This window comes from Homo sapiens, chromosome X, assembly GCF_000001405.40.
Source record: "Homo sapiens chromosome X, GRCh38.p14 Primary Assembly".
NCBI lineage: Eukaryota > Metazoa > Chordata > Mammalia > Primates > Hominidae > Homo > Homo sapiens.
The window spans coordinates 6657452-6672350 of record NC_000023.11 but is presented as its reverse complement, the minus strand read 5'-3'; the positions used below and the strand labels follow the sequence as shown (position 1 = coordinate 6672350).

The 14899-nt window shown below is 40.1% G+C and overlaps 1 annotated feature.

Annotated features, from left to right (window-relative positions):
* Positions 7390–8202: an enhancer, noted in NCBI's record as "OCT4-NANOG hESC enhancer chrX:6582190-6583002 (GRCh37/hg19 assembly coordinates)". NCBI's record gives its function as "activates a minimal SCP1, AML or CMV promoter by ChIP-STARR-seq in primed H9 embryonic stem cells {active_cell/tissue: H9 hESC(primed)}" and the evidence as "EXISTENCE:reporter gene assay evidence [ECO:0000049][PMID:30033119]".

The window sequence follows — 14899 nt, the reverse complement described above, 5'->3', positions numbered from 1 at the left end:
TCTTGATCTCCTGGCCTCAAGCGATCCTTTTGCCTCAGACTTCCAAAGTGCTGGGATTACAGGCATGAGCCATAGTGCCCAGCCTGAATCAATTTTTAATGGCTGACCACTGATAGTTTTCAAATTCTATGCCTTATCCTTTTGTTTTTGTCCCACAGCTGGACAAGCCAATGAGAAAGCCTGGGAGCTACCCGCTTGGAAAGCAGTGGGAGAAGTTTAAGCCATGCACATCCTAATGCATGTTCAGGCAGGATGCTTCACCCTGGCCCTATCTCCCAACCACAAGAAAACTCAGAGCCACTGCCCCCAAACCCCTTGCTCTGGTTCCACTCTAGAGTGAAACTGAGCCCTTCTCTTTGGGAAATCCTCTTGCCATTTACTGAGTGTGTAATCAACTATTTCCTATCCATTGGTAACTGCTAGTCATCTGTCTGTACATCCATAAATCTCTGGTCGGGGGCTGACCAGAGTCCAGCAGGGGATGCTGGCCACCCACATAAAACATCAACCTTGCCAGGCAACTAGCTAACCATCATTAAATACATTTATTATGGAGTTTGCCACACATCCGTGCATAAACAAATCAGCTCAACCATTACCTGTAGCTGTTCTGGGCAATGATTTTAAGGTGCACAGTTCTAGCCCCTCAACCAGTAAAAAAGTTGGTGACCTCCCTACACTTTGAAGTCAAGACAACTGCAAACATAAATTTTAAGTCTGGCTAAACTTTATTTAGTTGATCTCATGTGATGTGAAAGCAAACCAACACACAGAATCCACACTTTATGTAGCTGCCTTGGGTTTTTCTCATGGGTCTAAATCAAGGATTTTAAACTCCTTGAATTCATGACCTATTGCTGTGTAACACATAACTGCGACATTCTCAGCTTGAACAACACATATTTGTTATTTGACAGTTTCTGTGGGTCAGGACTCCAGGGGCAGCTTAGATGGGTCTTGTGCTTCAGGGTCTCCCAAGGCTGTAGTCAAAGTGTTGACCACAAGTGGGTTTCCCTGAAGTCTTGCGTGGGGCGGGATCTTCTTCCAAGGTCACGTGAATGTTGGCAGGATTCAGTTCCCTGCAGATTGTTGGAGAGAATGGCTCATTTCCTTGCTGGCTATTGGCAAGAGGTCAGCCTCATTTTCTTGTCTTGTAGACCTCTCTATAGGACAGCTTATTTTAGCCAAAGCCAGCAAAAGAAACTCTACTAGAAAGACAGAAGCCATTGTCTTATGTAACTCATTGTGGAAGTGACATCCTGCCATCTTTGATATATTCTATATGTTTGAATCAAGTCACTATGGCAGTTCACACACCAGATTGAGGTTATTTGAGTGCCATCTTAGTGTCTGTTCACCATATTTCTTAAGCACCAGAACAAATACCAGAAGTTGTATTCTTCTGCACATCCATTTATCCATCTTTTCATCTTCTAATGACAGACTGTACGCTATAGCGCTTGAGAGTAAATGGTGTTACTCAATGTTCTTCAACCTTTCTTCATCATTGCCCACTAAGAAATATTTTACACATTTTTTAACCCACCCCCCATGCAAATTTAACAGATATACTCCTTATCTGTGTATGTCTGTATCTCTGAGCTTCGTACATGAATGGCTTTTTCACCTTCCAAGAACCAATTTTCATTCCCTTTGGGAAGATATTATCCCCATTAAAAATGCCGAAGGAGCATGCTATAGACTCAGACTCCTTTGTTTCTTTCTGTCCCACCACTTATCAGCTTTGTGATAGGCAAGTCGCTGAACACCTCTGAACCTCAGCTTTCTTAACTGCAAAATGAGAATCACAATAGAACCTACCTCTTACTACTGTTAGGAGGATTAAAGGACACAAGATACCAGAAGTATATATAACAGACACAGTGGATTGTAGGAACACCATAAATGCAAGCTTCTATTACTGCAGTGCGCAGAACACTATGTCTAGCATCAGGAATTTTAAGATAATACCAAAACAAGAGTCTCAAAGAGGCTCACTGTTTGTTAAAGGAGATTGAAAGATTACAAAAGGTGTGAGATGTGCTATCATACAGTTATATTCAAGACGATTTGGCTGTAGAAAAAAAGGAGTCTCTAAAGTCTGAAAAAGAGAGAGGAGGGCAAAAGAAAGAAGGGTTTCTCAGAGGAAAGACACTTGAAGGAAGAGAAATAATTTGAGCTGAGGAATGAAGAACCAAACTAAAGCAATGGCAATGTTGATGATGACAGAGAGGAGGAGAAGGCCTGGAAATAAATGATCATGTGGTAGAATGCTATGGTTATTCAAAAGATTCACTTATGTAAGTAGGCATTTCTCCACTTGCTTGTTTATTCACCCATTCATTCGTCCATCTCCACATTCATCCACCCACTTTCCATCCATCCATCATCTATCCACACCTGTTTCCTCTGTCAATCCATCTACCTATTTATTCACCCATGTCTTCATTGATTCTTACATTCCACTCTTCTATACATCTGTCCATGCATTCATTCATCAATTCCTGCATTCATCCACTCACTCTCCATCCATCCATCCATCCATCCATCCATCCATCCATCCTTCTATCCTTCCATCCATTTATTCACACATTCATCTACCTGCTTCCTTCCATTAATCTGTCTATTTATTTGACCATCTCCTCATCAGTTAATCCATCTCACCCTTCTATACATCCATCCATGCATCCATCCATCCACGCATCCATCCATCCACACATTAATCTACCTGTTTCCTTCTGTCAATCCATCTACCTATTTATTTGTCATCTCTTCATCAATTAATCCATCCCACTCTTCCATCCATCCATCCATTAATCCATTCGTCCACTAGTCTGTTCCTAGATTCATCCACCCACTCTCCATCCATTCATTCATCCATCTATCCTTCCTTCCATCCATTTATTCTCACATCCATCTACCTGCTTCCCTCTATAGATCCATCTACCTATTTATTTGTCCATCTCTTCATCAATTCTCCCATCCATCCCAACCTTACATACGTTCATCCATCGATCCACACATGTGTCTACCTGTTTACTTCCATCTGTCCATCTATACACTCATCACTTCATCCTTGGCTTCATCAATTCATCTATCCCACCCTTCTATACATCCATCTTTCCATTCATACATCCATCCATCATCAATCTATCCATTCATCTACCCATTCACCACTCATCCACTAATTCATCCATCTATCCACCCATCCTCTCATCCATCCATCTGTCCTCTATCTTTTTCCACAAAGGAAAAAGTGGTGTAGAAAGACATATAAAATAAATATAGAAAATGAATAATAAATGAGTAAAATATGAACAAACCAAACACTAAACTCAGGTAAGAATGGAAAGGAGAGAACTAGAATAAGGACATAAAGTAGGACCAGGGGTTTGATTTAGGCAAGTATGCATTCCATATGCCTGACCTATGAGGGCCAGACATTCAGTATGTTAGGATGTTGAGTTGTTTGTGCTCCCAAGGTAGCCCGTATCTGTACCAAACTTTCTACTGCTTAGAGTCTAAATGGAGGAATCTTTTAAGTTATTTACTGTACTCCACATCAAATGTTTGCTGGCATTTGGATAGACTTTAGCAAATGTAGTCCATCTTCTAATTTCTTCTTTATCTGCATTTAAAGGGCTTTGCGCTACAGAGATGAGATGATACTGATTAAAGGCAAGTCAGATTTCAAATACTTTCTCCTGAAAATCCATTTTACTCCTTTGCTGTTAGCAGCATTTACTACAGGAAAATGTATACTTAACATTTAGCCAAAAATAAAAACCTCTGCAAAATGCCTAAATATAGATTGCTTCATTGCCTTCAAATCAGACTGGAAAGAACACAGAGGCTGGTGCTCAGAAGAAACTGAGTGGTTGGAGACTGCAAAGCAGTCTGCAATCAGAAGAAATTACAATTATGGCACCGAGCACTAATCCCAGAAAATCTAAACACAGACAACCACTAAATCCCATTATAAAATATAATAATCATTATTAGAGCTTTTTTTTTTTCTCCCAGAAAATAAAGAGTTGGAGACATTATGCCGTTGCTTAACCATTTTCCATAGCAGGTCATTATTCTTTATGATGCTACTAAATATACTCATCATCTTACAAATCCCAAGTTCACCTTCCAAATACATGATCTCGTCCTTCTGTGTAAAGTTAATGAAAGTTGTAAAAGTGCTTTATTCCGTATCTTTATTTTTCCCCACAGGGACAGGGGAATAAAAATGTGATGCATTGGAGGAGAATCACAGGACTCAACAAATAAACCTTGAGATGTCATTGTCACCTGTGTGTACTTTATGAGAATACACGTAGAGATTAACCCTTTCCTGGAAAATGAACGTCTATTGCTTCTTTTGGGGACAGCATGCTTTATAGTTAGGACATTCTTCTTTATATCCAGCCTGACTTCTTCATGCTGTACTAGCCTTCCAATCCTTAACTAAAAATTTTTTAAAAATGAATAAACACTGGGCAATGTGTTCTATGGGCTCTTTAAAATACTATGAGACTGTAGTAAAAACATCACAACACAAATGGCAAAGTAGTGAAGAATGGTGCTGATATGGTTTGGCTGTGTCTCCACCCAAATCTCATCTTGAATTCCCATAATCCCCATGTATCCTGGGAGGAACCCAATGGGAGATAATTGAATCATGGGGACGGTTACCCTCATGCTGCTGTTCTCATGATAGTGAGTGAGTTCTCATGAGCTCTCATGGTTTTATAAGGGGTTTTTCACCCTGTTGTTCAGCACTTCTCCTTTCTGCTGCCATGTGAAAAAGGATATGCTTGCTTCCCCTTCCGCCATGAATGCAAGTTTCCTGAGGCCTCCTCAGCCATCTGAACCGTGAGTTAATTAAACCTCTTTCCTTTATAAGTTACCCAGTCTCAGATAACGTCTTTATTAGCAGTGTGAGAACAGACCAATACAGATGCTGTGCTAAGTTTTCTGATTTTACCACCTCTTCTAGAACATGCTAGAACCAGTCCACATCAAATTTTCCCTTAAGGCACAAACTGCTTCCTTCTGTTTTGTAGCCAAACAATACAGTACATTTGTGGACCCACAATGAATATCCATAAATCCTCACAGAATGAGTGAGTCAGCGAATCAATGAACCATTACTTCCTGAATTCAATACAAAGCACTTCAGACAATGAAACCAAAATCTCCATCTCTCATCTCTTTCAATTCCCATTCTAATAAGGAAAGAAAACATAAACATGCAGTGAGTTCTCAGTTAATGAATTATTTCTAGATTGAACTACAAGAAATTGCCACTTTGGTTTATAGGTCAAAAACAGTTGAATATCAGCTGTATGCTAATATTTGCAGTCTTTGGCTGATATTTGGGAATTTCTTCTTTTCTTTAGCAACATCAGAAAAAAGTGCCTTAAGATGAGTTAGAGATATGTAAATAGCATCTCATTCTGGGAAAATAGCTAAGCAAAAATCAGAAAGGATGCCAAAATGCTCAGTTTGGGTGTGCACTCTTTTGATTACACAACACGTTTTGGTCATTGGTAAATGTTTCTTTTAATGTTCACCCAGCAAGATGAGGCATTTGGGACAACAAAGCAGTGGGTTCCTTCTTCTGATGACTTAGCCTGAGGAGCTAAAGAGTCAGTTAAGAATGAGTGTTGTCTTTGATAGAGGAGCCTTGAAGGAGATGGGTCTGTTTTAAGAGTAGAAGCAAGCCTGCGCAACATAGCAAGACCCCATCTCTGCAAAAAATAAAAAATTAGCTGAGTATGGTGACAGATGCCTGTAGTCCCAGGTACTTGGGATGCTGAGGGGGGAGGATGGCTTGAGCATGGGAGTTTGAAGATGCAATGAGCCGTGGTTGTGCAACTGTACTCCAGCCTGGGTGACAGAGTGAGACCCTGTCTCAAAAAACAAAACAAAACAAAACAACAACAAAAGAACTCTTGTGAGTACATCAGCACCAGATAATCCAGGATTATCTCCATATCCCAAGATTCTTAATCACATCTGCATAGTCCTTTTTGCCAGGTTATGTCACATGTTCACACCATCTAGGATTGGGATGTAGACATTTTGGGGGGGCACTATTTGACTGACCATAGATTCCCCTGGCCCTTCATTTAACCAAGACTGAGTCCAAATGGTTCAGTGTTTTGCTCATTGCAGAATCCAACACTCTTGTTGGGTGGCAAAGCATCATCTGATCAAGTAAAGTATGCACAGCAGAGTTAGACCTTGGTCAGGATTTGCCTCTACACTTTTTAAAAAATTGTTTAAATAGAGTCTTGCTCTGTCACCCAGGCTGAAGTGCAGTGGTGAGATCACAGCTCACTTCAGCCTTAAACTCTTGGAATCAAGTGATCCTCCTGTGTCAGCCTCCCAAGTAGCTAGGACTACAGGTGAGTGCCATCATGCCCAACTAATTAAAAAAAATTGTAGAGACTGGGTCTTACTGTGTTATCCAGGCTGGTCTCGAACTCCTGGACTCAAGGAATTCTCCAAGTCAGCCTCCCAAAGCACTGGGATTACAGGCATGAGCCACTGCATTCAGCCTCAGAGTCCCTATAAGAAGGTAAGGGGGTCTGAGAAAAAGGTGTGATGATGGAAGCAAAGAGTAATTTGAAACACTACACTGCTGCCTTTAAACAATTGAAGAAAGGACCACAAACCAAGAAACACAAGTGGCCTCTAGAAGCTGGAAAAGACATGGAGACAAAATCTCCCCTAGAGCCTTCAGCAGGAGCACAGCCCTGCTGAGACCTCAATTCTAACCCATTGAGACCCACTCCTGACTTCTGACCTCCAAAACTGTAAAATAATAAGTTAGTGTTGTTCTAAGCCATTGAATTTGTGGGAATTTGTAACAGCATCAGGAGACCTATACGGAATCTTTCTTAGGATCTATCACTAGGCATGTACATCTTCAGAGAGGATGTTACATGACAAGTTTAAAATGAAAAGTGGCTGGGCGGCATGGTGGCTCCCACCTGTAATCCCAACACTTTGGGAGGCTGAGGCAGTAGGATCAATTGAGTCCAGGAGTTCGAGACCAGCCTGTGCAATATAGTGAGATCCTGTCTCTATTTAAAAAAATTTTTTTTAAATTAAATTAAAAAAAAACTTAGGAAGATGAAATACCTTAGGGTACCTGTGGTGGGAAGTCAGGAACCCCGAATGGAGGGGCCGGCTGAAGCCACGCAGAAGAACATAAATTGTGAAGATTTCATGGACATTTATTAGTTCCCCAAATTAATACTTTTATATTTTTTTACGCCTGTCTTTACTGCAATCTCTGAACATAAATTGTGAAGATTTCATGGACACTTATCACTTCCCCAATCAATACCCTTGTGATTTCCTATGCCTGTCTTTACTTTAATCTCTTAATTCCATCACCTTTGTAAGCTGAGGAGGATATCTGCTGCCTCAGGACCCTGTGATGATTGCGTTAACTGCACAAATTGTAGAGCATGTGTGTTTGAACAATATGAAATCTGGGCACCTTGAAAAAAGAACAGGATAGCAGCAATGTTCAGGGAACAAGAGAGATAACCTTAAATTCTGACCGCTGGTGAGCCAGGTGGAACAGAGCCACATTTCTCTTCTTTCAAAAGCAAATGGGAGAAATATCACTGAATTCTTTTTCTCAGCAAGGAACATCCCTGAAAAAGAGAATGCATCCCTGAGGGTAGGCCTCTGAAATGGCCACTTCGGGGGCGGCCGTCTTTTATGGTCGAAGCTGTAGGGATGAAATAAGCCCCAGTCTCCCATAGCGCTCCCAGGCTTATTAGGACGAGGAAATTCCCGCCTAATAAATTTTGGTCAGACCGGTTGTCTGCTCTCAAACCCTGTCTGCTGATAAGATGTTATCAATGACAATGCATGCCCGAAACTTCATTAGCAATTTTAATTTCGCCCCGTCCTGTGGTCCTGTTATCTCGCCCTGCCTCCATTTGCCTTGTGATATTCTATTACCTTGTGAAGCACGTGATCTCTGTGACCCACACCCTATTCGTACACTCCCTCCCCTTTTGAAAATCACTAATAAAAACTTGCTGGTTTTACGGCTCAGGGGGCATCACGGAACCTGCTGACATGTGGTATCTCCCCTGGACACCCAGCTTTAAAATTTCTCTCTTTAGTACTCTGTCCCTTTATTTCTCAGACTGGCTGACTCTTAGGGAAAATAGAAAAGAACTTATGTGACTATCGGGGGCAGTTTCCCCCCATAGGTACCCAATAACTATCGGTCTGTTTAATGCTTTAATGTAAACTTTTATCTGTCAGTGAGGACTGGGGTAGTCTATCTTCTCCTCCCCTTGTTCCTTGAATTAACTAACACACAGTTCTTTAAAGGAGGCTGTGGAGAAATAGCTTAGACACTGGGCCATTAGTGGTGGCTTTTGTTCAGTTAGAGAAACATATGGCTCATTTCTGAAGTGGGACAAATTGGAAACATGTAAAGATGGAAGGATTAAGTTACATAGGGAGCAACACACTAGCAAGAATTGACAATAAAGAATGCAAAAAGAAGTGAAAGTATAATCTCTCCAAACAGGGTGACTAACCATTCCTGGTCTGTCCAAAACTGGGTCTCTCCCAGGATGCCAGACTTTCAGTACCCCCAAATCCCAAAAATCAGTACTTGCAAAACCTGAAAAATCCTCAGTAAACTACCAATTTCCATATAAAGATAACTTTGTTTATGGAGACAGAGGAAAATACCGCAATTAATAACTCAATAGGGCTATTAAATCATTCATTCATTCAACAAATTCTATTAAATACCTCTGATTTTCAAATAATGTATTAAGGTGCTTAGGATAAAATAATTGTGATCAAGTCTTACTTTCTGAAAAGGAAGAAATAGAATACGAAACTTAAGTGTGATACAAACACTAATCTCAAGAAACATGTTCTTTACTGGACATAAGATACATATATATGTGTGTGTGCATATATATGTATGTGTGCATATACATATATATAAATATCACATACATGTGAGAAGTCCACTGTGCTATCAAAGTCTAATAAAAATATTACCCAAATATCTTGCATTAAAAAACAACTTCACTCTTTTTTCTTACTCTTTTCTATCTACATTATATATATAATAAGATCAATTATATTACATTATATATGTATTATATATAATGTAAGTATTACATATGTAATGTAATACAGTGTATATGTTTAAATGTGTGTATATATAGTGTATATGTATATAATGTATATAATATGTATAGTGTGTGTTAAATATACTGTGTATACACACACTATGTAAAAATATTTTATACAAATATGAATTATATATAAATATTTCTACTTTATAAATATAAATATTATATACATTATATTACCAGTAGTACAGTAATATATTACTATATGTTATATAGTAATATACTATTTTATACAAATTATATTTTATAGTAATATAGCATATGTTACTGTATATATTACTATATGTATATGGAGAGAGAGAAGCTATGATAAACGTTAAACCAAAAGATAAATAGATTCTGAAGTTTTTAGTTTTTTAATGCAAGATAGTTGGGTAACATTTTTATTAGGCTTCGATAGCTCAGTTAGCTCTCATGACACAATGAGGATACTGCTAAAATAGATCAAATGTAGGAAATTGAAACAGATGTGCTACCCTACTTAGATAGGACATTTTGCTCGAACAACTTATTGGGTTCATTCAGGGGGAAAAATACCCACAGCAGGGCATTGGAAAATGGCAAAGTGCCGCATTTTGTTGAATGAGATATGTGGTTTGTGTGACCTTTTCCAGCTAGGTCCAGTTTCCAGAAGGATAAAATTAAGTTTAAAAAGACCATTTTCAGTTTCTCTCTCTGGTCATTTTTCCCTCTTATTCATTTTAGGAGAATCAACCAGTTTGAAATTCTTTTTTCATTTTTTGTATTTTTGAGTGGATGGTTCGGGAGTTTGGGTAAGGATTGCTACATTGGCCTATGCATTACCTCATTCACAGAGTTCCAGAACACCCTCCCAATGAGATACACATTGTTCCTTTCTATTCTTTTCCTCATTTCAAGCCAGCCTTTGTTTATGCACTTACATATTTAGAGAGCACTGCTGCTATGAATTCAAGGTTCTAAACTGTCATTGACCTAATTAACTTGAGATGGTTTGCCTGTTGATTTTCTGTAAATGAATATATTTATCAAAATCTATAATAAGTTTACAGGGTCCATTTTAATGTTTGCAGATAATGAGTTTAAGAGCAACCTGGAAAATGTCAATGATCTCTTCTATAGAGGACAATTGGTGAGCCATCACAGCACAGGGCTGTCAATTACTCACTCCGCCTTGCTAATTTCAATACCGTGGCCAACTTGAGATATTAGGAAAGCTAATTAACCTCTGTGTAACTCAATTTGCCAATCAGAGAAAGCTGCAAAATTGGATCATTCTCTCAACTGCACTTTTCCATCTCACAAGGACAGGTGCTCACTGACATCAGAAAACAAAGCATTAGAGTCGTGACAAGGTGGGGAGAAGAAAATCCGGCCAAAAACAGGCAGCATGTCTTGGCCAGGTGAGGAACAGCTGAACTTTCTGCTTTCCAAATTGTTGACCTTCAGTCCATGTTGTTCTTCCCTCCTCATGGACTGTTTATAAGCTGGTCCTTTCAAAAGCATCAGAAAGAGATGGAAGAAGGAAAGGAAACTAGCATTTGTCAAAATCCAGATTTCAGAAAGAAGATGGTTAACCTTTGGTGCAGCAATATGGTGAGAAATAATAAGACACAGAAGCCAGGAGATACTGGATTGGCTTCCTAACTTGGCCTTTTAAAATCTCTGTGCAAAGAGCAAGTTACTCTCCAAGTCTAAGCTCAGTTTCCACGTTGAACAAGGATAGTAATGCCTACCTTACAGCACTTGGGGAAGGCATATAATAGGACTATAGTGGTGACCAGCTGTAGATCACTTGAAGAAGTTTAGCCACATAGGTTGAGTTTGGCAATGGTGGTGCTGGAAGCAGATAGTATAGGAAAAAAATAATGTTGCTACTTTAGTCTTCAGATTCAGTGTGGTGCCCAGACCAGCTGCAGCAGTATCTACAGGAAGCTTGTTAGAAGTGTGAATTCTCCAGGCAGGCATAGTAGTCCCAGCTACCCAGGGGGCTGAGGTAGCAGGGTCCTTCGAGCCCAGGAGTTCAAGGCTGCAGTGAGCTGTGATTGCACCACTACACTCCAGCCTGGGTGACAGAGCAAGATCCTATCTCTTAACAAAAATAGAATTGCAAATTCTCACTTCAACCCCACCCCTGCATGCCAGACCTCCTGAATCAGGAACTCTGAGGTGGGGCCCTGCAATCAGTGTTTTATTAATAACAAGTCCTCCAGAGGCTTCTGATGTACATTTCAGTTTGCTTTAGAAAGACTTTGGTCAAGGTAAAAATCAACAAGAAGAAAGTAAGGCCCAAATCTTGAAGAAACAGGAGAACTCGATAGGTTGGCAAGAAAAGATTTTAGACATGGAGAGCAAGGCAAGACTTTTGTTATTAACCTGGGATATAAGATGGTGGAAGGTGGGGCAGGAATTTGGGCTTAGTGACTCAGAATTTCCATGACAAGCTGAAACACAGCCATGAAGAGATCATGTTGCAAGTTCACCTGAAGCTGAACCCAGGTGCAGAATCAGATGTACCTAGAGCTGATGTTAGGGCAGGACTGACTTTATATTTTTTAATTTTAAAATTTGTTTTTTATTTTGTATTTTTTTGACAAAGGATTTCACTCTGTCACCCAGGCTGGAGTGCAATCATGAGATCATGGTGCACTGCAGCCTCGACCTCCGGAGCTCCAGCAATCCTCCTGCCTCAGCCTCCTGAGTAGCTGGGACCACAAGCATGCTCCACCATGCTCAGCTAGTATTATTATTATTATTGTAGAGATGGGACATCCCTATGTTGCCCAGGCTGGTCTGGAACTCCTGGGTTCAAGTTATCCTCCCACCTTGGCCTCCCAAAGTTTTGGGATTACAGGTGTGAGCCACCGTGCTCAACCTGGACTGACTTTATAGAACAGAATCATCATTCCAACATTCTTCTCTTTCCCGTTTTTTTTCTAGAACAGAGAGACCCTGACCTTTTTCAGTTTATTCTCATCATACCTCCCACTCACCTTCCTTCCACCTCAACCCTTTGGATGTTAATTGGTTTATCTGAATGTTCTTTTAAGTTTGTGTGCATCTGTTGATATTTTCACTTTGAGTTGTTTTTCAGTTAATTTCCTGTCTGTCCTGAGGCTCGAAGGCCAGCATTGTGCTCTGGGAATTACAAGTGAAGATACATTATAGTTGTACGGACAGATAGGATTATGTTTTCTCTTTGGTTTCCAACATTGTGACTTAGCACTTCTTGGCTGTCAAGACGTCAACAGCGTGTAGGGGGTTGTCACCCACAAACAACAGTAGACAGAATCAAATTGGAGTATGTAGGGGGCTGGGACTCTGACACCTAGGTTATTCTTCTGTGTGAATCCACTGCCTCTGCAACCTGTAGGAAGCCTCTAATGTGTCAGGGCTTTCAGCTCTTAGAATAAAGATATTTGAGAAAAAATGTTTATGGTCCTTTCTAGATCTCAAGTTCCACAATCTATAATCTATTGGTTTCCATCCTAAGTCGTGAGTCCTACTTAGCGCCTGAACTTCACTCAACATTCTGTATGCATGGTTAAGAGTCAGCAATAAATCTGAACTGTGCATGATGTTCTTTTATTTTGCCATTTTGAACAAGTACAATTCCCAACCCTGAGAATTATGTGGTAGCTCTCTCCTGAATCTGCATGACTGACCTGACTCTGAAATTCAGAGTCTAAATCAAATCAGCTACTAGCAGAAGTTTTTTAAAAAATGGATAGAGGAACACAGTTCTTGCATAAACCCCATTTCTCAAACACCAGCAAAATCTCTCATTAGAGGTATATGCAGGTTAATTAAGTCTTTTGAAAAGAAAGATGACCTTTGAAATAAAATTGACATTGCTTAAGTCATAGACAAAACTGACTTGCTGTGTCATTTTACAGCATGGCACAGAATTTATAAGAGAATATCTGGTTCTATGCTAAGTGTGAGGGGCAGAATTATCACACAGCCTCTAAGATTCCCACCCACTAGACTACATGTCCTGTATAATCCCAACCTTTGAGTATAGTCAGGGCCTTTCACTGTGATTGATGTCAAGACAGAGACTAGGTTATAATATTTAGCATAACTATGGGGATTTTTGTAGATGTCATTTTGTACCTGTGATTAAGTTTCCTAATCAGTTGAATTTGAGTTAAGGAGATTATATTTGGGAGACCTCACTAATTTGATGAGCCTTTTAAGAGAAAGTCTAGGAGCAAGAGATCTGAAACAGCAGATCCCTTTAGTCATCATGCATTCTGCAACATAAGAAAATAAATTCAACCAACAGCCCTGAGTTGGAAAGAAGACCTGGGCTCCACATGAGATGATCACTGCAGCCTTCAAAAGCCAGCCAAAGACCCACCTATGCCATGCATGGACACTTGGCTTAAGGGAACTCCAAGGAAATAAACATATATCATTTGAAGCCTCCAAGTTTGTAGCGATTTGTTACGAAGCATTAGAAAATGAATACAGTTAGCTTGTAGTTCCTTACTGGGAAAATGGATCATTTAGAGTATTTAGAAGAAGTGCACAGAAGACAGCATTCATTCAGTCTGAAGAAAGGAAAGATGATCTCACTGAATGTCATTATTGAAAAATAATGTGTTACATATTCTGTTGTTAATCTGGTAATAACCATCCAATTAATGGATGATATGGTTTGGCTGTGTCCCCATCCAAATCTCATCTTGAATTGTGCCTCCCATAATACCCACATGTCCTGGGAGGCACCTGGTGGGAAGTACTTGAATTATGGGGGCAGATCTTTCCCATGCTGTTCTCATGCTAGTGAATAAGTCTCACAAGATCTGATGGTTTTCTAAGGGGGAGTTCCCCTGCACATGCTCTCTTGCCTGCCGCCATGTAAAATGTGCCTTTCCCTTCCTTTGCCTTTCGCCATGATTGTGAGGCCTCCCCAGCCATGTGGAACTGTGAGTCCATTAAACCTCATTTTCTTTATAAATTACCCAGTCTTGAGTATGTCTATATTATTAGCATGAGAGCTGATTAATACAATGGACAAATGTGCAAACGATTGCATACAAAAGACAGCTTCACCAACAATACAAGAATCATCTTGAGTAATTGTTGCAGAGTAGGAAGGAATAAAGAAGAAAATGAAGACCTCCATTGAATTATAGCTTGTCCTCCAGTAAAAGTTAGGAGTATAAGGCTATGGCTCCCAAATGTCATTAAACAGGCTAGTGCTCACTGTTGAGGTGTTCTCTTCATGTTTTGACACTTCCTTCAGATCAGTTCCTAACTGGTGTCCTTTATACAGGCAAGGTTTTCCTCTATCTGCAAACCCCTTTCCTTATTGCATCCAGCAAGCCATTGCCAAATTTCTTACTGGGTTAGTCTTAGTCTGTTTAGTGTGGCTATAAAAGAATAGCTGAGGCTGGGCAATCTATAGAGAAAAGAAATTAATTTGTTCATGGTTTTGCAGGCTGTACAGGAAGCATGGCACCAGCGTCTGCATCTGGTGAGGGCTTCAGGCTGCTTCCACTCAGGATGGAAGGGGAAGGGAGCTGGCATGTGCAGAGACCACATGGAGAGAGAGGAAGCAAGAGAGAGAGGAGGAGGTGCCAGGCTCTTTTTAACAACCTCTGAGGAACTAATAAAGTGAGAACTCACTTATTATTGTGAGGATGACACCCAGACATTCATGAAGGATCTGCCCCCATGACCCAAACACCTCCCACTACGGGATCAAATTTCAATATGAGATTTGG